Source organism: Homo sapiens, chromosome 2 (genome assembly GCF_000001405.40).
Source record: "Homo sapiens chromosome 2, GRCh38.p14 Primary Assembly".
Taxonomy (NCBI): Eukaryota; Metazoa; Chordata; class Mammalia; order Primates; family Hominidae; genus Homo; species Homo sapiens.
The window spans coordinates 214,842,847-214,870,665 of record NC_000002.12 but is presented as its reverse complement, the minus strand read 5'-3'; the positions used below and the strand labels follow the sequence as shown (position 1 = coordinate 214,870,665).

Genomic DNA, 27,819 nt, shown 5'->3' with positions numbered 1-27,819 from the left:
GCACCATTGACTACCCAGTTGTCCAAGTAAACGTGGAAGTTATAATTAAGTCTTCCATCTTCCTTTCCTTTTACATCCAATTGGTAGTGAATGCTATTATTCCTTAAAATATCCTAAAGTCTACACTAGCTCCATTGCTACTGCCTTGGCTCAATTTGTAATCTGCCACAGATGGGGTTCCCAAGGAAGCAGACTGAGACAGGGATTATAGCCAGAAGGAAGGTTCTTAAGGCTGCAACATGCTGAAGGGAAGGGAGTCAAGCAGGATTGAGCAGAGGGAAAAGTTGGGCTGTGATGCACTCTCAAGAAAAGCTTCAGCAGATTCTATAAGGAGTTTGTTGGGGTTCTTTGTTTTGTTTGAAGAGATAGAGTCTTCCTCGGTCACCCAGGCTGGAGAACAGTGGTACAATCATGGCTTACTGCAGCTTAGAACTCCTGGGCTCGAATGATCCTCCCACCTCAACCTCCTAAATAGCTAGGACAACAGGTACATGCCTGTAGTTTGCGTCTGGCTATTTTTTTTTAATTTTTTTTTATTTTTAGAAATGGTTACCCAGGCTGGTCTCAAACTCCTGGCTTCAAGCGATACTCCTGCCTCAGCCTCCCAAGTAGTTAGAATTACAGGCATAAGCCACCACACCCAGCCCACAAGGAATTTTACAGTTGAGATGGCCATTCTGAATTATATTAAATTGGAGCAAAGGGATGAGGCCTTTATACCTCTGCATCAACAAGTCATCAAACATGGTCTGGGAAAGAAGTATGGCATTAAGAGAGGCCACACTCTTCAGCCTAGGCAGTCTCTAAGATGTCTGGAAGCTAAAGGCCATCTGCTGGCAGCATTCCCAGAGGGGAGAGGAAACTTTTCAGTTCTGGAGGGGCATCTGGGTAGCACATCACAACATCCACTAAAGTTCGTCCCCTGTAATGCTCATATCCACTTCTTCACCATAAGTTCCAGAAGCAGTTCCTCCAGGATTCCATGGGCATCTTTTCCTAAAGAAACTTACAGGAGGAATGTCAATAGAACAAAACATAACCTTTATCTCTGTAGTTTGTCTCCAGACCACAATTGATACTCACGTCTCTCTTTTCTATTATGCATTCTAGATTCCTTTTGCCTTCAGGTAGCATTCTGCTAGCCTCGATGTTTTTCGTGGTGGTGTGACTGAGACCTTCATCCTCAAAGGTCTAAGCCTACAGTAACTGTGCCTTTCCCAGGCCCCAAGTGCTGCCCTTGTCCTTTTAAACATCAAAATTGGGGAAGCGGTTACCAAGAGACGATGCTCAAGTAGATATCTAGAAGCCAAGTGCATTTTTCTTGCCCCATGAAGTAAAGACAGCTCTAAGTCCTTGTAGAAGTCAAGTGTATTTTTCCTACCCCACTAACTAAAAACGGTTCCAAGTCCTCGTGATGATTAGGGTCAATTACCCCTGCCAAGAGAGTCACTCCTCCTCTTGCCTGCTTCTCCCTTGGTAAGGTGAGCCTGAAGTGCCCAGGAAACAGCTGTAGCTTTTAGTCCAATAAGACTCTTGTGTATTTGGAAACCAAACCTCTAAACTCATGAAGCCCAGAGTTGTAGAAATGGGAAACAATCCCCGAGAAGGTCAATGGTAGTGATGGTCAGTGGGGCTCCTTGGCTTTTAACTCATGAGTCCCAGATCAATGAATTTCAACTATAGGGAAACAGCATCATGTAAAGGTCATTGGTTTAAAGCAGGGTTTTTTAACCCTTGGCATTATTAATATTTTGAGCGGAATAATTTTTTGTTGGGGGGGGGGCTGTTCTATGAAGTGTAAGATGTTTAGTGTACTTCTTTCCTCTATCCACTAGATACCAGTACAACACAACCCACCCCAGTTCACCTCCCCAAGACCCCCCACTCCACTATATTACGACAACCAAAAGATGTCTCCAGACATTGTCAAATATTCCTCCAGGGACAAAACTGCTCCTGGTGGAGAACCACTCATTGAAATGCATACAGGAGGGATATACTGGAGGATGGTGTCCCACCATTGCTAGGCATTGCCTCTGAGTTGACATTTCAGCTATGCCTTCAGTAGGCCATTTTATTGCTCTATAAGGTTGTCAGCTTTCTGGGGGGTGCAGTATGTAATGTGCCCAGTGGGTCCAGTGGTTATACACCCACTCCCACACTTTGTTTGCCATCAAAATGGTTCTTTAGTCTAACACAATGTAGGTTAGAATGCCACATAAATGGAGAAAATGCTGTAAACCCTCAGATGAGAATGCCAGTTTAGGCTCTGTAGCCAAGAAAGGGAAATCAGTACCTGGATATATAGCTGCTCCTAGTGTTGTGAAGGGGGACTAATGTAATCAACTTGTTACCAAGTAACTGATTGATCTCCTTGAGGGACGGTGCCATATTGACAGACTCAGTATTAGGTTCTGCTACCGGATGATTGGGCATCTGTAGCAACAGTGGCTTCGTAAGTCTTGGTAAGTGAGAGTCCACACTGCTTGGTCCATGCATGGCCTCCAGCTTTGCCATCATGGTCACCCATTCATATGCCCATTGTAATAGCACTAGTGTAGGGTGAAGAAGAGATCAGTTGATATCAACTAGGTGAGTTTTTGGTCTGATTGTTTAATGCCTCCTCCATGGTGAATGCTTTCTAAGTGCATGACATGTGATAGAAATATTTTCACATTTGGTGCCCACTTGCATATGTCTCTACTCTAGAACACCACAGAGCATCTCTTCCCATTTCTGATACCTCTAATACAATAGGGAATCCAAGGTTGTATGGCCAAAGAGGTAGGGCTACTATCACCACAGCACGGACTTGCTACAAAGCCACTTTCTTCCCGAAGCTGGTAGCTTTTCCTGTCACCTAGTATGCGAGTTGGAGCAGTATTCTCAGCTGTGGAAATTTTCTGACAAAAAAGGGGGGCCTAATAAGCCTTGTGTTGTCCCCCTTCAAGGTAGGAAGTTCAACATGCAATAATCTGTCATTTTACTGGTGTCTTACAAAGGCCTCTTGATGTTATGTATCACTGTTAAGTGAAAGAGTGTGATGTTCTGCAAGATGTCCAGCTGGTCCAGGTTTGTCCTGACTATAAGAGAGGGAAGAAGAGTTGATGTAGTCCTGGGGCAAGACTGTGAACGTATACACCTGTCAGCGGTGAACGAAAAGTTTTCTGATTCCCCCCATTACGCTTGTTTGTTAGGAGAAAAGGCATATAAATTTGTTTAACGTGCATACACAGGAAGAACGACAGTGATTATCCCTGATTCTGTTTTTGATAGGGGTGGGAAAAATACATTTACCAGCTTGTTAGCTATATATCATTTACCTGAAGCCACATCAATACATAGCAAGCATTCCACATTGATGCAGAAGCCATAATTGGGAATATATTTATTTATTTATTTATTTATTTTTTGAGACAGAGTCTGTCTCTGTTGCCCAGGCTGGAGTGCAGTGGCGTGATCTCACCTCACTGCAACCTCCACCTCCCTGGTTCAAGCAATTCTCCTGCCTCAGCCTCTGAGGTAGCTGGGACTACAGGCACCCACCACCACGCCCGGCTAGTTTTTTGTATTTTAGTGGAGACAGGGTTTCACTGTGTTGCCCAGGCTGGTCTTGAACTCCTGACCTCAGGCAATCCGCCTGCCTTGGCCTCCCAAAATGCTAGGATTACAGGCGTGAGCAGCCACCGTGCCTAGCTGGGAATACTATTTAGTGGAGTTTGCGGTAGACAACTGTCTTCCTCCAAAATCTGTCTAGTTTCTACAGGGGCCAGACTGGTGAATTAAGTGGAGATATGAAGGGGAACATCACTCTTGCATTCTTTAGGTCTTAAAGGGTTACACTAGTCTGTGCCATCTCTTTGGGATGCAAGATTGCTTTTGATTTACTATATTGCCTGGGGAGGGGAGCAGTTTCAGAGCATGTCCAATTCTCTGAGCCTCTTAAATCTTTTCTTCCATTGCCTACTATGGCAATTCTGGTATTTAATACTTCATTTACTGTGGGTCATCACTTTTCCATGCTTCTAGGAAAAACTACCATACTCTAGAGTCTTTTCCAAGTATTAAATCCCGTATATTGGAGAGACCTGTCAAATCAATAAACAACTTTATGTTTTGTCCCTTTAATCCAGCACTCTCACAATCCAGTTCCATATGTACTCCCCAACTCCTGTCGATACATTTTGGCTAAGTCCTACAGCAGTTTAAGGGTTATTTTAGTTTTCTATTTGCTGTAAAACAAATTTCTACCAACTTAGTGGCTTAAAACATGACCCATTTTTTAACTCACAGTTGTGTAGGTCAGAAGTCCAGCACTGCGTGACAGGGTTCTCTGCTTAGGTCTGAAATCTAGGTGTAAGCCAGATTAGGTTCTCTTCTGGGGGCTTTGGGGAAAAATCTGCTTCCAAGCTCAGTCTTACAATTTGCAAAATTTAATTTCTTGAAGTTGTAGGACTTAGGTCTTCATTTTCTTGCTGGCTGCCAACCTGGAGCCTCTCTCAGCAACTAAAAGCCTACTACATTCTTTGACATGTGGACTCCTTCACCTTTCAAGATAGCAACTTGCTGTGTCAAAGCCTTCTCTTTCTTTTAATAACTGACTTCCCCTTCATCAACCAGCTGTAGAAAGCTTTCTTTTAAAAGGTTCATTTGAATAGGTCAGACTCACCTAGATAATCTATCTTAAGGTCAGCTGATTTAAGACCCTAATTATACCTGCAAAATTCCTTCCCAGCAATACTTACATTAGTATCTGATTGAATAACTGGGAGAAGGTGTGTATATACCAGGGGCCTGGAATCTTGGGGATCATCTTGGAATTCTGCCTCATACAGGAGGAAAGGGGAAGGGTTTTTATTCATTTGCATTAACCAGTTATTGGATATGGGCTGTCATGAGAGGGCAAAATGACCTTAGGAGAGAAATCTATTTAGCTAAGGCAATTATGTAGAGGGCTGACAGCTGAGAACTGCCTGTCAGCAGCACTCCCAGGAGCTAGGGGGACAAATTCTTCTATCCAATAGAAGGGAATGGATGGTTTAATCTCATCTATTGCATCATCCTTCTTGTCTAGATTACCATACCACTTCCGGTTTTGCCCTCTTCCAATATACACTTCACACAAATGACAGACCACATTTTCTACAACACAATTCTGATGATGTAATTCCCTTCATTAAAGTAACTGCCTAGTTATGTACAGCATTCATACCTTTACTCTTACTACCATGTAATACAAATTCTTCATGATCTCATCCTTTTTTGCCATCCGGTCAAAGGCTACAGACCTTCCATTTCTTGTTCTTTCTTCTTGGAAAGCCTTGATCATCCAAACACTGTCCTTTTTTCCCAAGTTAACTGTCCTATTCAAAACTGGCGATATCACCTCCTCCACATAGCCACCAGAGAGCCTTCATTTATGGCGCTGCCATCATCTCAGCTAAGTCCATGTCCTCTGTGCTTTCCAGAGAAGTCCATGCTTACCTCTACGACAGCATGTGTCATTCTATTTAGTAGACATATATATTCCTTTAATTTTTTATTTTCAGTTTTTGTGGGTACATAGTAGGTATATATGTTTATGGGCTACAGGAGATATTTTGATATAGGCAAACAATGCATATTAATCACATCAGAGTAAATAGGATATCCATCACCGCAGGCATTTATTCTTTGTGTTTCCAACAATATAATTGTACTCTTTTAGTTATTTTAAAATGAACAATTAAATTATTTTTACTATGGTCACACTGTTGTGCTAGCAAATACTAGATCTTATTTATTCTAATTATATTTTTGTACCCATTAACCATCGTCCCTTCCTTCCCCCCACCCTCCAACTACCCTTCTCAGCCTCTGTTAACTATCCTTCTACTCTCTATCTCCATGACTTCAACTGTTTTAATTTTAAGCTCCCACAGATAAGTGAAAACATGTGATGTTTGTCTTTCTGTGCTTGGCTTATTATACTTAATGACCTCCTGTTTCATCTGTGTTGTGGCAAATGACCAAATCTCATTCTTAGTTATGGCTGAATAGTACTCCACTGCGTATATGTACATTTTCATTACACATTCATCTGTTGATGGACAGACACTTAGGTTGCTTCCAAATCTTAGCTATTGTGAATAGTGCTGCAATAAACTTGGGAGTGCAGATACCTCTTCAATAGATTGACTTCCTTTCTTTTGGGTATATACCTAAAAGTGGGATTGCTGGATCTTATGGTAGTTCTATTTTTAGTTTTTTGAGGAACCTCTAAACTGTTCTCCATAGTGGTTGTACTAATTTACATTCCCACCAACAGTGAATGAGGGTTCCCATTTCTCCATATCCTTGCGAGAATTTGTTATTACCTGACTTTTGGACAAAAGCCACTTTAGTGGGGTGAGATGCTATCTCATTGTACTTTTGATTGCATTTCTCTGATGACCAGTGATGTTAAGTACCTTTTCATATACACTTTCCATTTGTATGTCTTCTTCTAAAAAATGTCTATTCAGATCTTTTGCTCATTTTTAATCAGATTCGTAGATTTTCCCCTCCAGAGTTGTCTGTACTCTTTACTTCTTGATTTCTTTCTCACATTGTTCACTGTTGGCATACACAAATGCTACTGATTTTTGTATGTTGATTGTGTATCCTGCAACTTTACCGAATTTGTTCATCACTTTTAATGTTTTTTGGTGGAGACATAAGGTTTTTCCAAATACAAGTTTATATCATCTGCAAATAAGGATAACTTGACTTCTTCCTTTACAATTTGGATGCTTGTTATTTATTTCCCTTGTCTGACTGTTCTAGCTAGGACTTCCAGTGCTATGTTGAATAACAGTGGAGACAGTGGGCATCCTCGGTATGTTCCAGGTCTTAGAGGAAAGGCTTTCAGTTTTTCTCCATTCAGTAGGATACTAGCTGTGGGTCTGTCATATATGGCTTTTATTATGTTGAGGTGTGTTCCTTCTATACACAGTTTTTTGAGGGTTTTTATTATGAAAGGATGTTGAATTTTATCAAATGCTTTTCAGCATCAGTAGAAATGCTCATATGGCCTTTATCCTTCAATCTGTTGACATGATGTATCACATTGATTGATTTGCATACGTTGAACCATCATTGCATCCCAGGGATCAATCCCTCTTGGTTGTCATGAGTTATCTTTTTAATGTGTTGTTGAATTCTGTTAGATAGTATTTTGCTAAAGATTCTTGCATCACTATTCCTTAGTTGATATTGGTCTGTAGTTTTCTTTTTTTATGTGTCTTTGGTTTTGGTATCAGAGAAACACTGGCCTTGTAGAATAAATTTGCAAGTATTCACTCCTCCTCTGTTTTTCAGACTAGTTTGAGTAGGATTGGTATAAGTTCTTCCTTAAACGTTTGGTAGAATTCAGCAGTGAAGCCATCAGGTTCTGGGCTTTTCTTTGCTGGAAGCCTTTTTATTATCCAAATCGGTAAACAGAAAGTCAAACTGTCGCTGTTTGCTGATGATATGATTGTATACCTAGAAAACCCTAAAGACTCCTCCAAAAAGCTCCTAGAACTGAGTTCTAGGAAATGAGTTCAGCAAAGTTTCAGGATACAAAATTAATGTACACAAATCAGTAGCACTGCTATTCACCAATAGCGACCAAACTGAGAATCAAATCAGGAACTCAACCTCTTTTACAACAGCTGAAAAAAATAATAAAATACTTAGGAATATACCCAACCAAGGAGGTGAAAGATCTCTACAAGGAAAACTACAAAACACTGCTGAAAGAAATCACAGACAACACAAACAAATGGAAACACATTCCATGCTCATGGATGGGTAGAATCAATATTGTGAAAATGACCATACTGCCAAAAGCAATCTACAGATTCAATACAATTCCCATCAAAGTGCCATCATCATTCTTCATAGAACTAGAAAAAGCAATCCTAAAATTCATATGGAACCAAAAAAGAGCCTGCATAGTCAAAGCAAGACTGAGCAAAAAGAATAAATCTGGAGGCATCACACTACCTACTTTCAAACTATACTATAATGCCATAGTCACCAAAACAGCATGATACTGGTATAAAAATAGGCACATAAACCAGTGAAACAGAATAAACAACCCAGAAATAAACCTAAATACTTACAGCCAACTCTTCTTCAACAAAGCAAACAAAATCATAAAGTGGGGAAAGGACACCCTTTTCAACAAATGGTGCTGGGATAACTGGCAAGCCACATAGGAGAATGAAACTGGATCCTCATCTTTCACCTTATATAAAAATCAATTCAAGATGGATCAATGATTTAGACCTAAGACCTGAAACTACAAAAATTCTAGAAAATAATATTGGAAATACACTTCTAGACGATGGCTTAGGCAAAGACTTCATGACCAAGTACCCAAAAGCTAAGGCAATAAAAAGAAAGATAAATAGGTAGGATTTAATTTAACTAAAGAGCTTTTGCATGGCAAAAGAAAAAGTCAGCAGACTAAACAGACAACCCACAGAGTGGGAGAAAATCTTCACAATCTATGCATCTGATAAAGAACTAATATCCAGAATCTACAACTAACTCAAACAAATTAGCAAGATGAAAACAATCCCATCAAAAAGTAGGCAAGGACATAAATAGACAATTCTCAAAAGAAGATATACAAATGACCAACAGACATATGAAAAAATGCTCAATATCACTAATGATCAGGGAAATGCAAATCCAAATCACAATGTGATACCACTTTTCTCCCACAAGAATGGCCATAATAATAATAATAATAAATACATGTAGGTGTGGATGCAGTGAAAAAGGGAACACTCTACACTGCTGGTGGGAATGTAAACTAGAACAACCACTATGGAAAACAGTGTGGAGATTCGTTAATGAACTAAAAGTAGAACTACCATTTCATCCAGCAATCCCCCTACTGGGTATCTACCCAGGGGAAAAGAAGTCATTATACAAAAAAGATACTTGCGCATACAGGTTTATATCAGCACAATTTGCAACTGTAAAAATGTGGAACCAACCCAAATGCCCATCAATCAACAAGTGAATAAAGAAACTGTATTTATATATGATGGAATACTACTCAGCCATAAAAAGGAATGAATTAATGGCATTCGCAGCATCCTGGATGGGACTGGAGACTGTTATTCTAAGTGAAGTAACTCAGGAATGGAAAACCAAACATCATATGTTCTCACTCATAAGTAGGAGCTAAACTATGAGGATGCAAAGACATAAGAATGATACAATGGACTTTGCAGACTTAGGGGAAAAGGGAGGAAAGGGGGTAAGGAATAAAAGATGACAAACTGGGTTCTGTGTATACTTCTTGGGTGATGGGTTCACCAAAATCTCACAAGTCACCGCTAAAGAACTTACTCATGTAACCAAATACTACCTGTTCTTCAAAAACCCATGGAAATAAATAAAGTAAAATAAAATAAAATAGTCATAGACACACACACGCGCACACACAAAAGTTAAAATTAGGTACTGTGAGTGTTTACCTGATTTCTGGTTCTTATGAAGGTGCTTTTTCTGTGTAATTAGTTGTTAAATTGGTGTCCTTGCAGGGGGACAATAAGTGGAACCATCCATTCCGCCATCTTGCTCTGCCCCTCCAATGGTTTACTTTTTTTTGGTATCCACTGAACTAAGAGCTACTTGAAAGCAGATAAATTTTTTTGTCTGCATCCTCATATCTCTAAATTTCTTTCATCCATCCCTGCACTTGCTACTTACTAGATGTTCACTACACATAAATAGGTTTTCAATTACTCTGTTTTTGTTTTAACAAATATCAACAGAATACTCTAAAAGATACATATTAATATATTAATATTGGTTGTCTCTGGGTAGTGGGATTATGTAATTTTTCTTTTTGGCTAAATTGCATTTTCAAATTTGTAATTAATTACCAGAAAAGATTACTAAAAGATTACTAAAGACTACTAAAATCAAGACTAATCATAGCATCCACTTATCTTCCTGTCCAGAATTCTTCTAGATAACAGAAAATGCATCTTTAAAAAAGTATTTCGGCTGGGTGTGGTGGCTCATGCCTATAATCCCAGCATTTTGGGAGGCCAATGTGAGCAGATCACTTGAGCCCAGGAGTTCAAGACCAGCCTGGGCAAAATGGCGAAATCCTGTCTCTACAAAAAATACAAAAATTAGCCAGGCATTGTGGCGCCCACCTGTAGTCCCAGCTACTCAGGAGGCTGAAGCGGGAAGATCACATCCAGGAGACGGATGTTGCAGTGAGCTTAGATCACACCACTGGCCTCCAGACTGGGTGACAGAGTGAGAGCCTATCTACGCCCCCAAATAATAGTAATTTATTAAAAAAATGTATTTCCATCACAGTGCTAGAAAACAAGGGTGCCATCAGTGGAACAGAAAGTCCTGAATAATAGAAAACAGACAGGATCATGTTGACAGAGAAACAAGATTGAAAAAAACATGTTCAAGAAGAAATATCTGGAGAAATAAGAGAAAGTCAAAGATGTTCCAAGCTTAAAGTGAGCAAATACAAAGAGAATGGGAAGGCATAGAAATATCATCAGGGTATTAATTAACTGTGTTTGGAACAGCAGTGGAAAGAATGGATATTGCTCTCCAGGCAATATTCTGATAACTGCTTTCTAAACCTTGCAAACTGTATGCTCAGACATTTTCCTGGTATGAGTGCTAAGGGTGAAGAAAGATAGAGAGGTAACTCTTTGTTACCCATAGTCCTCTACAAGAACAGCAGGACTAATGAAAAAGTGAGAGAGAATTTGACTTCTCCCTAGTCTAAACTCAACTATTCGTGTTATTTTCTAAAGTAGAAATGTTCAAATAGGAGGTGCACAGAGTGGGTACCAGAGATGGAGGAGGAAGCCAATGTCCTGGTAACTGAGGATCTCTGGGGGAAATGCACACTCAAAGCTCTGATGCCAAACCATCCCCATGTGCCTAGCCTGGCTTCAGGTACTGCCCTCCCCTAAAATCACCAGAGGCAAGCTTCTGTAAATGGAACCTACAGTCACCAAAAAGGAAAATAAGAATTTTCAAATATTAGCATAGAGGAAAAAACAGAATTATAAAACACTTAAGGAAAAAAACCATGAACTAGAGGTGCAAGATTCAACGAAAAACTCACATTCAAAGGTACAGTTCATAGAGAAAACCAGACTAAGTGACTATGCAAAGAATGAGTAGAGATCATAGAAATGAAAAATATGATCCCTTAAATAAAACATTCATTAGAGAGGCAGTCTAGCAAAGGAGGATGGAAACAAATAAAGATTGACTTACTGAGGGGGCCAATTGACCTATCATTCTTTCAACCATCCCTGCACTTGCTACTTACTAAATGTTCATTACACATAAATAGGTTTTCAATTACTCTGTTTTTGTTTTAACAAATATCAACAGAATACTCTAAAACATACATATTAATATATTAATATTGGTTGTCTCTGGGTAGTGAAATTATGCAATTTTTCTTTTTGGCTAAGTTGCATTTTCAAATTTGTGATTTGAGATCTATATGATTCTCATGAAGTTCAGGAGAATGAAGCAGCAGAAAGTACAATAGAAACGTTAAGAATGGAGAATACATTCAGATGTTCCCACAGCATTCCAGAAAGAGAAGGAAGAGGAAATAAATGGGAGAAAATTACATTTAAAAGGAGAGGGGAGAAGGAAGAAAAAGAGAAAAGCAAGGAGAAAAAAGGTTAGGAAACGGAGGAGATAGGGTGGAGGAAAAGGTAACTTTCCACAGGTAAAAAGTCCACCATGTGTCTGAGTACTGATGTTAAAAAAAACCCCACATGGCCAGGTGCAGTGGCTCATGCCTGTAATCCCAACACTTTGGGAGGCCGAGGTGGGTGGACTTGAGGTCAGGTGTTCGAGACCAGCCTGGCCAACATGCTGAGACCCCGTCTCTACTAAAAATACAAAAATTAGCTGGGCATGGTGGTGCATGCCTGCAATCCCAGCTACTTGGGTGGTTGAGGCATGAGAACTGCTTGAACCCGGGAGGTGGAGGTTGCAGTGAGCCAATATCTCGCCACTGCACTCCAGCCTGGGCAACAGAGCAAGACTCTGTCTACCAAAAAAACAAAAACAAACAAACAAAACACATACGGACACATTCTAAAAATATGTCAAAGCCCTAAGTATAAAAGAAAGCATTCAATGATTTTCAGAAAGAAAACAAACATGTATCTATGAAGGAATGAAAATCAAGTTAGTGTCAGACTCATGGTCCCCACAATTTTACAATCCCCATCATGCAGAATTCACACTGTGCTGCCGAGAGGCCAATCCAACAAGACACCAAAGTAGACGGTCCCTCCTGCAGTTGCAGAATATGGCACTCCAGCCAGACTTGTCATTGCTAACAATAAAAGCTAGAGAATAGAGCAATGACTTCAGAGTTCTGAAAGTTATTTCAAATCTAGAATTCTATACTCACTGGATTTAGTGTGAGAGCAAAATAAAGACATTTTTTTTTCAGACATACAAGGCTCAAAAAAGTTACTATCTACAAGTTCTTTCTGAAAGAATTCCTAAAGGGAAATTCCAGTAAGAGAAAATAAATACATAATTCCATTTCACAGAGGTAAGAAAAGACGCCTGAATGGTTACTGTACAATATTTTAAAAAGCTAATTTGACCATGGGAAATGATGAGAAAGGAATGTAGGGTGTAACTAACAGCAAACTATTGTTGTCTTGTTCAAGGAGAGTCTTATACACTGGCATGCTTTTAGGGGGTTGCATCTCTTCTCCCTTGATTCTTCCCTTGGGGTGGGCTGTCCACATGCACAGTGGTCTGCCAGCACTTGAGAGGGGCCCAATGCGCAGTGTGTTTACTGAAGTTGTGCACATGCTCACTTGAGGCATTTTTCCCGTTCAGTGTTCCCAGAGAAAGGTCACCTACCAGTTAAACTCTGCCATTTTGCCTCTTGGTGCACATGCTTGAGCCCATTTGCTCAGCTCCTGAGATCTTATCAGGAAGCTGCTGATCACCAGATTCAGGTGTTTCTATCTATTGGGAGACTGCCTTTCCCTGGCACTGGCTGCAACCAATTATTAATACTATTTTAGAGAGACAGTGTAACAACCACCTGACCATCACCTGATGGGCACCAGACATTTCTGGTAGGAGGGGTCCTCTCCTGCCCTGCACATATCTGACTATCTACTATTAAAAATATGGCTGCTCCAGCTTTAAGGGATCCTGGGAAAAGAGTATTTAGCTTTCACCACCCTATATGGAAGAAGAGTAGGGAGAGGGCTTGGGGAAATGTTGGTGGATCATTTGACCAGAGTGTCTACCTGGAAGTTAAATGTGCTGATCCACTGTAGATATTGATAGTGAAAAGGATCAAGATATGCCACTCCAAAATATGCCTCTTTGGCCTAAGGATTATTTGGAGTTAGAGGTAATTAAGCATAAACAAAATACAGGAAGGGTTCTGTGCTCTCCTCTTATCTGTCTAAAAGTAAGGCATATATTACCCTTTATGAAAATGGCATATTAGTCGGGTGTGGTGGCTGGCGCCTATAGTCCCAGCTACTCGGGAGGCTGAGGCAGGAGAATGGCATGAACCTGGGAGACGGAGCTTGCAGTGAGCCCAGATTGCGCCACTGCACACTCCAGCCTGGGCGACAGAGCGAGACTGCTTCTCAAAAAAAAAGAAAAAAGAATGAGATGGTCCCTGAAATATCTCCTCAAGAGGGTAGAGTAAGTTAACTACAGGCCTTTTGTTTTGCTGAATGTCATATACAAAGCTGAATTGCTCAGAATTTTGAGAACCTGGATGACAGGAAAGGGAAAAGGGGAGAAATTAGAAGTGTAGGTTTCTATGTACTCTCACCATTCATCAAGTAAGTTTCCTAGTGCTCTGAACAAGTGAACTCCAAATATGCCGGCAGCATGGCCCTATCTATTAATATAAAAATATATGAGCACTCTCCCTTTGTTGTATGTGTGTTTTCAGGTCCGAAATATATGAAATGCTGCACTGGTTATTACGTGAGGACACCAGTGTCAAAAGGTGTTTTGTTACTAATAAAGCCTAATTTCTTCATTTTTTAAGACATAAAAGAACTATAAACATATTAAATTTTCTTATTCACTTCATTCTTCCACCAAACTTGGAAACAACGGTATATTTCACTTGGAAAAACACACTGTTTGCATATCCTGCCTGACAGAAAAACTCTGGCATAGCACAACGTGCCCACGCTGCTCTGAGGAGGTGTTCTGATCCCAGTGATACAAGGCATTAAGATGGGAAGGCTGCCTGAAAACAAGATTGTTTGGGGATTTCTTTATACTGTGATTGTTCACCCTGGTGATTGTGAATGGAATTCAAATCATTTTAAGCAAGCAGAAGAGTTGCTGAATCACCACCTTGACTGCAGGCTTCCAAACTTGTGGCAACAACCAGGAAGGGGGAGAGGTTAAAAATTCAGTTGAAATGTGTACTTAGAAAAAATTAAAAACTGAATTAAAAATTATCTAATCATAATGAATTATAAATATAAAAACTATTACTTGATGTTCTTGTACCTTGTAACAGATCACAGGCAAATTTATAAAGATCTTTTAACAGTACTAATATTTTTTAAGAGAGGTTCCCCCTTTTAGATTTTGCTTATGTGATGTTATCATTTGAGTTTATCATTTCTGTAGCATGAAACAAACATAACCCTTTTTGGAGCACATTTAAATGATGTCAAAAATTTAATAAAATTAATGGCCCTGTTCTTTGCAATTGCTGCAATACATTTTCTTTCTTACACTAAAATTATGAGTAAAGATGCTGTTACTTTTTAAGTGATTTCACATAATAAAAATATGAAGTCTAGATTAAATTGATCTTTCTACTACTATTCATTCTGCTATATTCCCTCTATGAAATTGATGTTTCATCTTCAATTGTACAATTTCAACTAAAATTGGAAGACCAAAGCAACTTAGGCTATAAAATAATAAAATTACCTTACTCTGGTACAGTTTCATATTTTTCAAAGCACTTTCCCCTTATTGAATTCTGTCTCACAACAAATCTAGTTGTTATTATTTTTCTTTTGATATATGAGGAAAATGAGACACAAAATGTTAAGTGGCTTGTTTTTAGTTACACCATTTAATTAGTTATAAAGCTAAAGCTGGAACAGAATGTTTCTGTTTCTGAGTTCTTTTCTTCTGTGACTATTCCATGAGACCTGATGCTTTCATGGAAATGAGTCAGAAGTGTACCCTCTCCAGATAAACTCTAAACTCCTCACAATGAAGAGTTCAAGGAGACTGTCAGTTCTTAGAACACCCTTCCAAATTCCACAATTTGGAAACTATAATGATCATGGAAACTATAATGAGATTGGTAATCTAATATTTTCTGTTCTTCAGCAGCTGAAATAGGACTATACAGCAATTATCTATTAAGCCAAAGCTATATGTTACTGAAAATACAAGCATATTCAAGGCACCTAGGACAGGGACTGAAGGAATGGTTTTTTGATTAAAATAAGAATTTCAAGGCCTGGCATTCAGAATTGTTAAAGATCTCAAGGCCTGAAATGCCTCCTACTACTTCAAACAGGTATCTGGGGATACAGATATCCAGGAATACAGGAATTTCCCAGGACTGGTATGCCAATTCTGACTATGCAATTAGAAGAAGGAAACAAGACCTCAGCCCATGTACCAGAACTAGAGAGACTGTCAATATGGATTCAAACCCAGATGCTATGAGACAAAGTCAGAAAGATAATCCCAATAGCTGTGGAGAGTTGCTATGGTTTTAATGTGTTCCCCAAAAAGCTTGAAGTGGAAACTCAATCCCTAACGCAACAGTTCTGGGAGGTGGGACCTAATGGCAGGTGTTTAGGTCTTGAAAGCTCCACCTGTATGAATGGATTAATGCTGATTATTAAACGGCTTGAAGCTGTAAGTTTGATCTCTTGCTCTCTCTCACCTTCTCTTGGCCCTTCCACCATGGGATGACATAGCAAGAAGGCCCTCACCAGATACTAGCCCCTTGATTTTAGCCTTCCCAGCCTTCAGAACCCAAAACCAATTTCTGTTTATTATAAATGACCAAGTCTCAGGTATTCTTTCATAGCAGCACAAAATGGACTAAGACAGTAGTTGCAGAAGTATAGTGAAATTTTTCTGAGGAAGCTCAGATTCCCTAAGCAGCAGAAGCAATGTGGGAAAGAAGTCTGCCAAAATTTCACTATTAATGAAGGTAATTTAGAAGGACAAAGAGAAAGGGAGAGTTCTGGCTGCTTTTCCATTATAAAACCAAAAAAGTAGTTTGCATAGAGAATTACTAGTCCAGACTTGGGGAACAAGGGTTGCATGTTATGATTCATTCTCCTAGCTCCAGTCCAATTCCCCACAAGATTTCTGAAAGAGAGGAAAAGCAAGCCCCAGAAGGATGCACAGAAAAAGCTTCAGACCTGGTTTGCTTTACTCACTAATGTTCAAGTAGTGTAGTCCTGGCTATTCACTGACAGGATAGGTAAACACTAAGAACCAGTTTCCTGGTATCTTCACTTGTGTTGCCATAACAAATTATCATAGACTGGGTAGCTTAAACAATGAACATTTATTCCCCACAGTTTTGAAGGCTGAAAAGTCCAAGGTCGAGGTGCTGACAGATCCGGTCCTAGTGAGGGTTTGCTTCCTGGTTTGCAAATGGCCATCTTCCTGCTGTGTCCTCACATGTTGGAGAGCAGAGAATAAGCTCTCATATCTCTTCTCTTAAAAGCACTAGTCCCATTCATGACTAATTACCTCCCAAAGGCTCCATGTCCTAATATCATCAAATAAGAGGTTAGGATATCAAATTATGAATTTTAGGGAGACACAAATACCTGGTTTTCCAAGAAAAATAATCCCAGCACTTTGGGAGGCGAAGACGGGCAGATCACGACGTCAGGAGATCGAGACCATCCTGGCTAACACGGTGAAACCCCGTCTCTACTAAAAAATACAAAAAATTAGCTGGGCGTAGTGGTGGGCACCTATAGTCCCAGCTACTTGGGAGGCTAAGGCAGGAGAATGGTGTGAACCCGGGAGGCGGAGCTTGCAGTGAGCTAGATTGCACCACTGCACTCCAGCCTGGGCAACAGAGTGAGATTCCATCTCGAAAAAAAAAAAAAGAGAAATGAAGGAGTACTGGGGACTCTGCGGAAAGTTAACATCAGGATTTGTTTCTACTGTGGGAAGGATAGGCATCTCAAAGTAGAGCATATCTGTGAGGCAAACTCTACCCTAGTCTTCCAGAAATTGAGGTAGGAGCTGGTATAAGAAGACCATGACCCTCAGAGACAACAGAAATGAGGATTAAGGAGGGGATCATGGAGACAAGAGTCCTGGGTGTGGGGTAATTGAAGATCCAGCCTAGGCTTTGCACCTACTCTCCCAGACAACTTTGTGTCCCAGGGGATACCTGTGATGAACCAATAAAAACTTATTATGCATTCCATATTCTCCAGACTGGGAAGGATCATGGTGGGGAAGATGCCCAACAAAAAGAGGTGAAAATATTTCCTGTATCTACATATTTGCCCATCTTAGGAGGAGTGGCTGAGCCCTGAGTTGAATAAGACTTGAGAACCACACATAAGCCTTGTGTTTTTCTTCCATTCATTCGACCTAAAGGGAGAGAGTTAGTATAATTGATTTGTCAGGATAGCCAATATTTTCTCAAGGGAACATATAGTAACTAGAGAACATGTTTTTCAGTAGCTGTTAGGAGAATCCCATCACAAGAAAACACACAGATTTGTTAGAGAGATGTCAGTAGTAAAGTCCAAAGAAGCTTCCTGTTGGCCTCCAAGTTTTATTGGTAAAAAGCTAATTTGAATAATATGAAGGGAGGGGAAGAGCTTAGGAGCTGAGAGAGGCAAATTTCCATAAAGAAGAGCCCAATCTAACAGGCTTTGGGGAAAAGACAAACTTCTAAGACAGTATTATTGAATTGTTGGCTAAGTGACATATAAAGTAAAACTCCTCCAGCTCTGTTATAAAATCAATGTTAAATCTTACATTTCCAATTAATGCCTTCATGGCAGTTGTTCTGTTTTTTTTTTGTTTGTGGGAGGAACTCAGAACAAGTTGTCTGCCAGGTAATTGAGTTACCCCATGTGATGGTTAACTTTATGTGTCAACTTGACTTCTCTAAGGGGTGTCCAGATAGCTGTTAAAACATTTTTCTGGGTGTGTCTGTAAGGGTGTTTCTGGAAGAGATGAGCATTTGAATCAGTCAACTGAGTAAAGAAAATTGCCCTTACCAATGCCAGCAGGCATCATCCAATCCCTTGACAGACCAACTAGAACAAATTAGTGGAGGAAGAAAGAATTCACTCTGTGCTTGAGCTGGAGTTATCTGTTTCCTCCTGCCCTTAGACATCAGCATTCCTTCTTTTCCAGCCTTTCAAATTTAAACTGAGACTAACACCATTGGGTCCCTGGTTCTCAGACTCCAAGGCTTAGACTGGAACTACACCACCAGCTTTCCTGGGCCTCCAGCTTGCAGATGGCAGGTTATAGGACATCTCAGATTCCATAAACACATGAGCCAATTTTTCACAATAAATACATATATATATATATATATATATATATATATATATATATATATATCTCCTATTAGTTCTGTTTCTCTAAAGAGGCAAGGCTAATATACCCCATGAGAAATATAATGCTTCAGAAATACAGCCATCAATCCCTGTTTCATCATTTGTTTATAGGGTGCCTTATAGCTTTAAAATATTCTCATAAAATTATTATATTCTGAGTTTTTCACAATAAAATAATGTAGATGAGTAAATAGAGTGGTATCATCCTTTCTTTTTTGCAGATGAGGAAATGGGCTTTGCAGAGAATAAGTAACTTGGCCAAGTGATAAGTAACTAGAACTCTGATTCTTGTCAGTAAGTTTTTTGGTTTCAAGGGACCAAAACCACTCATACTTGGTAAATAATGGGTCTCAGTGGTGTGCTAGTAAATGTCTAAGAATTGGAAAAAAAGGTCAGAGTTTGTAACATTTGCTAGATCTCCATGGTGTAAATACTTCTCACCTATGGCTAATTTCAGCCTACTAATTTTGATGTCACCGAATGAAGAGCTGGGAAGAGATGCATGTGACCAGCAAGAGCAGGTAAGAACTGGCTCCAACACACCACTTCCTGAGAGGCCATCCAAGGCCAAGAAACGAATTATAGCTAGGACTTCTTTTAAAGCATTTGATGAGCAATCTTCCACCCTTTTCCGATTTGCTTTGGACACATTCATTTATCTTAACTATGTCTTTGGTAAGTTTACTTTGCTAAAGTTCGACTTTCAGAGTCCAAGGAAAAGTAAAATAGTATGCAGTCTCTTTCTGTGGTATCTTTCCCCTCATGGAGTCTGTGAAGGGGCAAGTTTTTGCAGCTAATGGAGAACAGAGGTAGAAAACATCAATGCTCTCCTGTATAACTCAGTGGTGTCCCATGAGGGACAACCATCTGGTAAAATACAATTTATGAACATGTAACAACAAAAACTAAAACTCTCAGTAGGCAATTTTTCTTTCATAATTTCTGGAACTTCTATCACAGATATGGGGACATTTCTCTAGAAAAAATTCTGTGGCAAATCTCTTGAGAATGGATCATTTCTCTATTAGAATGATGTTATGAAGGAGAACAAAGAAAGAAAGAAATAGAATTAACTACCTTGGAAACTTCCACTGACACAGATTGTAAGAATTAATATTTTGTATCTAATTAATATTTTATATCACATTTTGGGGCAAATAGCAGATTATCAATAAATATTTTTGAATTGATAATTTTTCAAATACTAGTACATAAAATATGTATTTTATTTATAATAGAATTTTAACGTGGTCAATTAAAATATTTTAAAATTCCACATATAACTTGAAATAAATGATCTTGCCTTTCTAACATCTACCTTCCCACATCTTGTTCCTCAAATCAACAATGAACCAGGTTAAGGGCTAGCTGTTGCACAGACAAGGATTCATAGAACCCAGCACTTTAAGAGATTACAGACTAGCTTAAATCTTCAAATTAAAAGTAAAAACAAGATTATGAAATACTATTTTCAAAAATAAATGTAAATAAACCCAAAGCCATTTTGAAAATCATCTTCAGGCCAGGTGTGGTGGCTCACGCCTGTAATCCCAGCACTTCGGGAGGCTGAGGCGGGCAGATCACGAGGTCAGGAGATTGAGACCATCCTGGCTAACACAGTGAAACCCCGTCTCTACTAAAAATTAAAAAAAAAAAAAAAATTAGCCGGGCGTGGTGGTGGGCGCCTGTAGTCCCAGCTACTCAGGAGGCTGAGGCAGGAGAATGGCATGAACCTGGGAGGTGGAGCTTGCACTCCTGCCTGGGTGACACAGCGAGACGTCATCTCAAAAAAAAAAAAAAAAGAAAATCATCTTCATTTTCTGTGTTTAGGAGGAAATATCTGGTGGTAATATACTTTTTATTGACTTTCCTTCCTTCCTTGGGAGAATAAAAGGAGTGATTCTTAGAAAATGCTTAGCACAGGTGCCCGGAATGCCATGCATATGTATATCGCTTATTCAGCACCATTATCAACTGGTAACCATTTTCAGAAAACAGAGTTCAGTGTTGCTGTGGCCTTTCTGAGAGAATGTGTATAATACACCTCAGAACTGTGCCATTAAGAGGTGAGTCCCAAGCAACCCCTTCCCTTATTTGCTGAGAATTGTATTAATACTACTGGCATTAACTCTTCAGCATCTCTGGCTGGTATGGGCAACCCTCTCCCTGTTGCATCCCATTGCCTGAGGACCACTGAAAAATCTCTCCTGGGGCTTCACAAAACAATGTTTGCCCTCCTCAAGATCTCCTTTCACCTCCTCTCATTGCTTTTAGACAAATGACTGGGGTCAGGTCTCAGCATGGTTCAAGTGGGGAATTACTGTCCCTGTTATTTAAGTAAATAGATAATTTACCCCCAAAGTCTCAGAACCTGGATAGTGGGTATTAGCAAGAACCAGCAGAGTATATGTGAGATATATATATATATATATATATATATATATATATATATATATATATACATATATACACACACACACATACATATATATATAAGCTGAGAGTGTTGAATGGGGAATGAGGGTTGAGGTGGGACAGAATATAGGGAATTCATTGATATCGGACAGTCTCCTGAGACTTAGATGATAATACCTTGACAAGGTTGCCTGGAGTCAGTTCTAATACACTGCTGGCTGGCTCCTTGAAGTCTGGAAATAAGGATGGTCTATAGTGGAGATGCCAGCACTGCCTTGGCAGAGTATTGAGGAAGGGGTCTTAAAGACTTGGGCTCATTTCATAAGACCTGAGAACACACTAGCTGATTCTTACCTGGAAGGACCTGGGTAGGCACTCCCCTAAAACTACAAGGAATGCACTAACGAGGGAGTGCTGGCATCATTTAAAAATGAATGATGATAGATGTCATCTCTAGACCAGGGTTGATAGGAGAGGAGATGGCTATAAAATTGAGCTTCCTAGTGATAATGGAGATGTTATAAGATTCTGAAATAACAGAGGCCAGGTGGCACCACTTAACTATCAGAGGTAAGCCTGACACAATTACTGTAACAGACACAGGCCATAATGTCACCAAGGAAACTTGACCCACAGGGGTCTGTGGTAATGGCAAACTGACCAGGGTGTTCCTTGGGGTTAAATAAATTAGCAACTAATAAAGGTTATTCCTTGATTTCTATAAACATAAATAATCAAGAGCTGGAAAGCAAATGGTTGGCGTCGGCCACTGCAATGGCCATTGCAATGGAAAATCATGCTCCCTTATCTGCTGTCTAGATCTGAGCCAATTCTTAGTCATACAGCTCATCAATTGAGAAAGAAGAGGTCAGGTTCCCCTTCAAAAGGTCTTTGCAATGCTATAGCAAGTATATGAAATAAATATTTCACTAATCCTTAATCAAAAGAATCTTGGGCCTTTCATCTTCTTAACTGTACACTGGAGAAAGGATAATACAGATCTTTCAAGGGCTTCTGAAAATAGAGAAAAAGATGACGCTGATATTAGGAGGACACATAGGTGATGATGGCCCCTGTTAGAGTGTGGCTCTACGGAGGCAAGGTGACAAATGGGTGTCCTATCTCAAGTCTATCTCACAGTGGGTCTAATGAGTCTAAGGCCTTCAAGATGAATATTTTCCTAGTTATAAATGCAAAATTGGATATTCCTAGTAGCTGGCAGAAGCCTCACATTAGTTCCTTCACCAGCTAGATAAGTGCCACAGTGGTAGAAAAAGCCAAGTGCAAGTTTCTGAAATCACCGTTGCAACCTGGCCAAAATAATAAATCAAAAGCAATCTATAGGTCATTTGGAATGGCAGAGACTTGTGCCATCTTCAAAGTCTAAAAGATTGATGAATGATGGACCCCATCATATTCCCATTTAATTCACTGATATGGCCCCTACAAAAATCAGGGTGATCACAGCAAACAATAGTGGACTTACCATAAAACTGACCAAGTGGTAGTGTTAATCATAGCTGCTATGTTGTATGTAGTACTGCTAACAGAACAAATCAACACAGCTGCTATGAAACTGGAAAATGAATTTTTTAAAGTTGTTATCAGGAGAAAGGACTGAAAGCCCTTAGCATTTACCTGATTGGACAGCAGTGCAAGTTCAGAGAGTTGCCCCAGGTCTATGTTAACTCTGCTGCTTTCTGTTGCAATAGAGTCTAAAGGGACACTGCACAGAATCTGCTGGTCCACGAGTTAAATGACATTATATTAATCAAACTAGTGAGCATGAAGTAGCAAATGCTCCAGATGTTCTGACAAGCCATATGTGAACTGCAAGGTGGATAAACCATAGAAAATTTAGTCTCTACTAAAAATATAAAAATTAGCCAGGCCTGGTGGTGGGCACCTGTAATCCCAGCTACTCAGGGGGCGAGGCAGGAGAATCACAGGGTGAACCTGGGGGGTGGAGGTTGCAGTAAGCCAAGATCATGCTACTTCACTCCAGTCTGGGCAAAAGAGCAAGACACCATCTCAAAAAAATAAATAAATAAATAAAAAATAAAAATAAAAAAGAAAATTTAGGGTACATTAGTGACATTTTTTTGACAGGAAGTAGAATTTATTGGTGAGTATTAAGAGGGGGGCAGCACATTGGAAGCCCTCATGAGTGCAGGGCCCGCCACTTGTCCAGAGGGCCACGATTGGGGATGTACTTGACCCCACAGCCATCTGGGATGAGCCACTTCTCAGCCACCATGTCTTCAAATTCATCAGCATTGAACTTGGTGAAGCCCCACTTCTTTGAGATGTGGATCTTCTGGTGGCCAGGAAGCTTGAACTTGGCCCTGCGCAGGGCCTCAATCACATGCTCCTTGTTCTGCAGCTTGGTGCGGATGGACATGATAACTTGGCCAATGTGAACCCTGGCCACAGTGCCCTGGGGCATTCCAAAGGCACCTCGCATGCCTGTTTGGAGCCTACATTGGGGTAGCGCAAGGTCAGAAACATGAACATCCATTGGAAAGGCCTGTCTCCAAGGTCCCTCAGAGCAACCCATACAACCAACAGGCTGTGTACACTACCAAGGAAGCTGCTGTGTGCAGCCATTGCACACTGGGCCCCCACAAGGAAAGGAACTCAGTTGGCTTAATTGGCTGCAGAACATTAGTGACATTTTTATAGTCCATGTTTTGAGGCAAGCTAGGACATTCCTTCAATGTAAAGGACAAGTTATTACACCATGCACCTCCTATATTAAAGAAAAAGGCACAGTGCTTCAGTTCTCTTTAGATATGGGAGATATTCTATCACTTGGGTTCCCTGTCTCAAGTTTCTTGTGCCCCTTGGTGTCACAATTCAGAGACATGTTCTACTCAGTCTCTCAGAGGTTCCCTAGCAAGATCGAGCCTGGCTGTCTACAATAGTAACCACCTCATTAACACTAAATCTTTAATGGGCTTTTCTCCTTACTCCTATCTCTGCACTACTCTCTACAATGCTCCCTGAGATCACCTCCTAAATAAGTTACACTGAAATCCTTGTTCAGGATCTGCTATTGGAGGAACCTAAACCAAGAGAGTGGATAAAGGTAAAAACAAGGACAATATTTACCAAGTTATTGCAATAATCCAGGCAAGAGATGATGATGTATGAATGAAGGTGGAAGCACCAATAAGAAATTGGGAGGCCATTAGAATGAGGCAGCTCCAGCACCATGGATTCCCACTTAAGCAAACCAAAACCTACTTCAGTGTAAACACTCTTAACCAATCTGAAACTGTCAACTAACATCTAATCTTAATCAAAAGAACCTTGGGCCTTTCATCTTATTAACTGTACACTGGAGAAAGGATAATACAGATCTTTCAAGGGCTTCTGAAAATAGAGAAAAAGATGACACTGACATTAGGAGGACACATAAGGTCATGATGGCCCCTGTTAGAGTGTGGCTGTATGGAGGCAAGGTAACAAATGGGTTTCCTATCTCAAGTCTATCTCACAGTGGGTATAATGAGTCTAAGTCCTCATTAGAACATTCTATTACTTATACCTATATACACATGTATATATGATAGATATATATATAAGAAGAACATTCTATTACTTATGCATAACCAACTGAAACCATCTAACTAACTTCTAACTAGATCACTTTAACCAATCAATTTTTTTACCCTGCTTCCTCATTTACCTTTTTTTTTTTTTTTTTGTGAGACAGAGTCTCACTCTGTCACCAGATTGGAGGGTAGTGGCACTATCTGGGCTCACTGCAACCTCCGCCTCCCAAGTTCAAGTGATTCTCCTGCCCCAGGCTCCAGAGTAGCTGGGACCACTGGCACATGCCACCATGCCTGGCTAAATTTTGTATTTTTAGTAGAGACAGGGTTTCACCATGTTGGCCAAGATGGTCTCGATCTCTTGAACTTGCGATCCTAGCGCCTCAGCCTCCCAAAGTGCTGGGATTACAGGCATGAGCCACCGTGCCCGGCGTCGTCTACCCTTTAAAAGCCTTCCCCTTATGCCCATTTGTTGGAGCCCCAAATTGCTTGCAGTCTTGAGCTGCCCCATTTGTGAATTGTCGTCTGTTCAAATAAACTTTAAAAAATTTTAACGTGCCAAGATTTGTCTTTTAACACACTGGAGGTAATTGGATGTGGTCAAGTGTGATTGAATTTTGGATGTATTTTGAAGTTAGAGGTGTGAAGTTGGATGTGTGATGAGAGAAAGATGGAGTCCAGGATGTCTCCAAAGCTTTTGCCTGAATTAACTGGAATGATCAAGTTTCTTTCAAGTGAGATGGAAAAAGACTTCAGGAAGAACAAATTTTCTGGGGAAGATACGGAATTCAATTTTGGTCAGCTTAAGTTTGAGATACCTAGTAAATATTCAAGACAAGCTTTCAAGTAGGCAGTCTGTGTGCATGAGTCTAGTGCTCAGGAGGAAGGCTCACACAGGAGATATAAATTTGGGACTCATTGTCATATGATGATATTTCAAGCAATAAGACCAAATGAGATCACCCAAAAAGTAAATGTAGAGAGAAAGAGAAGAGGACCAATGCCTGAGCACTGGACCCCTCCAATGTTAAAAGCTGGAAAGGAGAGGAACAGACAAACGAGATTTTAAAAATTCTATCAGTGAGATACGAAGAAAACCCAGGAAATGGGATATCCAGGAGGCTAATGGGACCAAAAAATATGGTATATAAAAAAGGATGTGATCACATGTTTTTTAAAGGTTTGCTGATATGTCAGATCAAATAAGGACTGGGAATTTATGAGTGGATTTAGTGATGGGAAGATCGGCTGAAGCCTGGGGACATGTTTTTTGGTGTTCAACGATATTATGAAGTACACTTCATTAATTCCAGTGAGGTTCAATGAATATCTGAGCATTCCTGAGGCTGAATACAATGCAGCCTTTCTCAAAAAGATGGGGGAAGGTATGCATGAAAAGAACTCTTAAAATGAACTTTGGATACTTTGCAATTTTGCCAAAGGTCAGCCATGACATTGGCAATAAAACACTGGAAATAATATGATTATAATAATAATATTACAGATGAGCAAACTCCCCTGGGTGCCCTGGTGGGAAAAATACAATAATACTAGAATCTCCTGGCAGTCAAACTAGTTAATTTACTGAATGCTTTTTGTGATAATTTTGCTGTAAAATAGACAGTAGATTATATTGAACAACAGTACCTACAATTTCCAACTGCACAGTGTTTTGGTTTGTTATAATCAACGGGAGGCCCAAATGATGGCTGAGTTCAGGCTGGTACAGCCACCTGACAGTAATGCTGAAAGTCATCTCTCAGTAAGCCCTAATTGTTCAATGAGAGCCCATGAGAGATAATGCCAAAAAAGCCTTATACACAAAAAGCAACTGACTCCCAGACAGGTAGGGGGCAAAAATAAGTCCATTTCATCTGTTCTCTCTCTGGCGAAAAGTTGTTCTGTGGCTAGTTTTACCTTTGTTACAAATAATAGATTTTTTTCTTCTCTTATGATAGCATTTGATTTGGGTCTAGCAATTACCTTTAGCTTACTTCACCACTGCTCAGTGTCATTTTCTCTCCTGATGGAAAATGTTGCCTAATCAGTGTTTGCATTTCTTCATCCACTATCCTTCCCTTGCCAACAGTCATACTTGTTATAAAAACAGCATCTACCTATAGGATTGTTAAAAAGATCATGGAACTTAATCTAGCTAAATCACTTAGGATGGTACTTGGAAAAGAGCTTGTGCTCTGCATATGAGTGTTACCTCTTGTTTTCGTTTTACATGATAAATGTTTAGGGGGAGAAAAGATTTCTTTTCCTCATCCATTGCTAGGTTCATGGCTGAGGGTCCTATAACATAAGACACATTAACAAGAGAAAAACACACAAATGATTTAATATAAGTTTTATGTAACACAGGAAACTTTGTAAGGAAATGAAGACTCAAAGAAACAGGTAAACGTGTGTATTTTTATGCTTAGGTTTGATGATGAGTGTACCGTCATAGGCAAATATGACTGGAACAAAAAGGGGTATGATCTAATGGTAATAAACTGGGGAGAACTTAGCAAAGGCTGTTTGTACAGATTCTTTTCTGAATGTCTGTGCTTCAGAGGTAAATATGTTCCTTTGCTCTAGGTATAGAAAGGGTACCTCAGAAATGAAGGTCTTATGATCTGCTGCAGGGGAGAATAGTGAAAGAAGGTCAGAGGGTGACTTTTCCAGGTTTTATGACCTGCTTCAGCAGAGAAGGGTGAGTGGAAGGTAAAGGTGATTTTCCTTCTGCTGATTTCTCAAATGCTAAGGTGTCATGTTTAGGGGTAGTATTTCCTGAACTCCATCAGGTTTTACTTTTGTATGGCCTATCTTTACATGAGTTTCTGTTACTTGTGACTATAAAAAATATGGAACTTATCAAATCATTGTGAGCATGGATTTTTCTAATCTTTTTCTTTTTCTTTCCTTCTCCTTCTTTTATTTATTTATTTATTTATTTATTTTGAGGCAGGATCTTGCTCTTTTGCCCAGGCTGAAGTGCAGTTATGTGATCATAGCTCACTGCAGTCTCAAACTTCTGGGCTAAAGGGATCCTCCTGCCTCAGTCTGAGCAGCTGGGTCTTATAGGCATGCACCACCAGGCCTGGCTCATTTTTTAAATAGAGACAAGTTCTTGCTATGTTGCCCAGTGTATTAGTCCATTTTCACAATTGCTATAAAGAACTACCTGTGACTGGGTAATTTACGAAGAAACGAGG

The 27,819-nt window shown here is 39.9% G+C and overlaps 1 long non-coding RNA gene, 1 other non-coding gene and 1 pseudogene across 2 annotated transcripts in view; all 3 read right to left on the bottom strand.

Moving 5' to 3' along the window:
- Window positions 1-27,819, bottom strand: part of SNHG31 (small nucleolar RNA host gene 31) — a 153,377-nt gene that overhangs the window by 92,940 nt on the left and 32,618 nt on the right. The window lies entirely within an intron of this gene.
- On the bottom strand, window positions 23,164-23,529 carry RPL10P6 (ribosomal protein L10 pseudogene 6; annotated as a pseudogene).
- On the bottom strand, window positions 23,585-23,719 carry SNORA70I (small nucleolar RNA, H/ACA box 70I). Its single transcript, NR_145773.1, has one exon. It is a non-coding gene; the product is annotated as a small nucleolar RNA, H/ACA box 70I (small nucleolar RNA).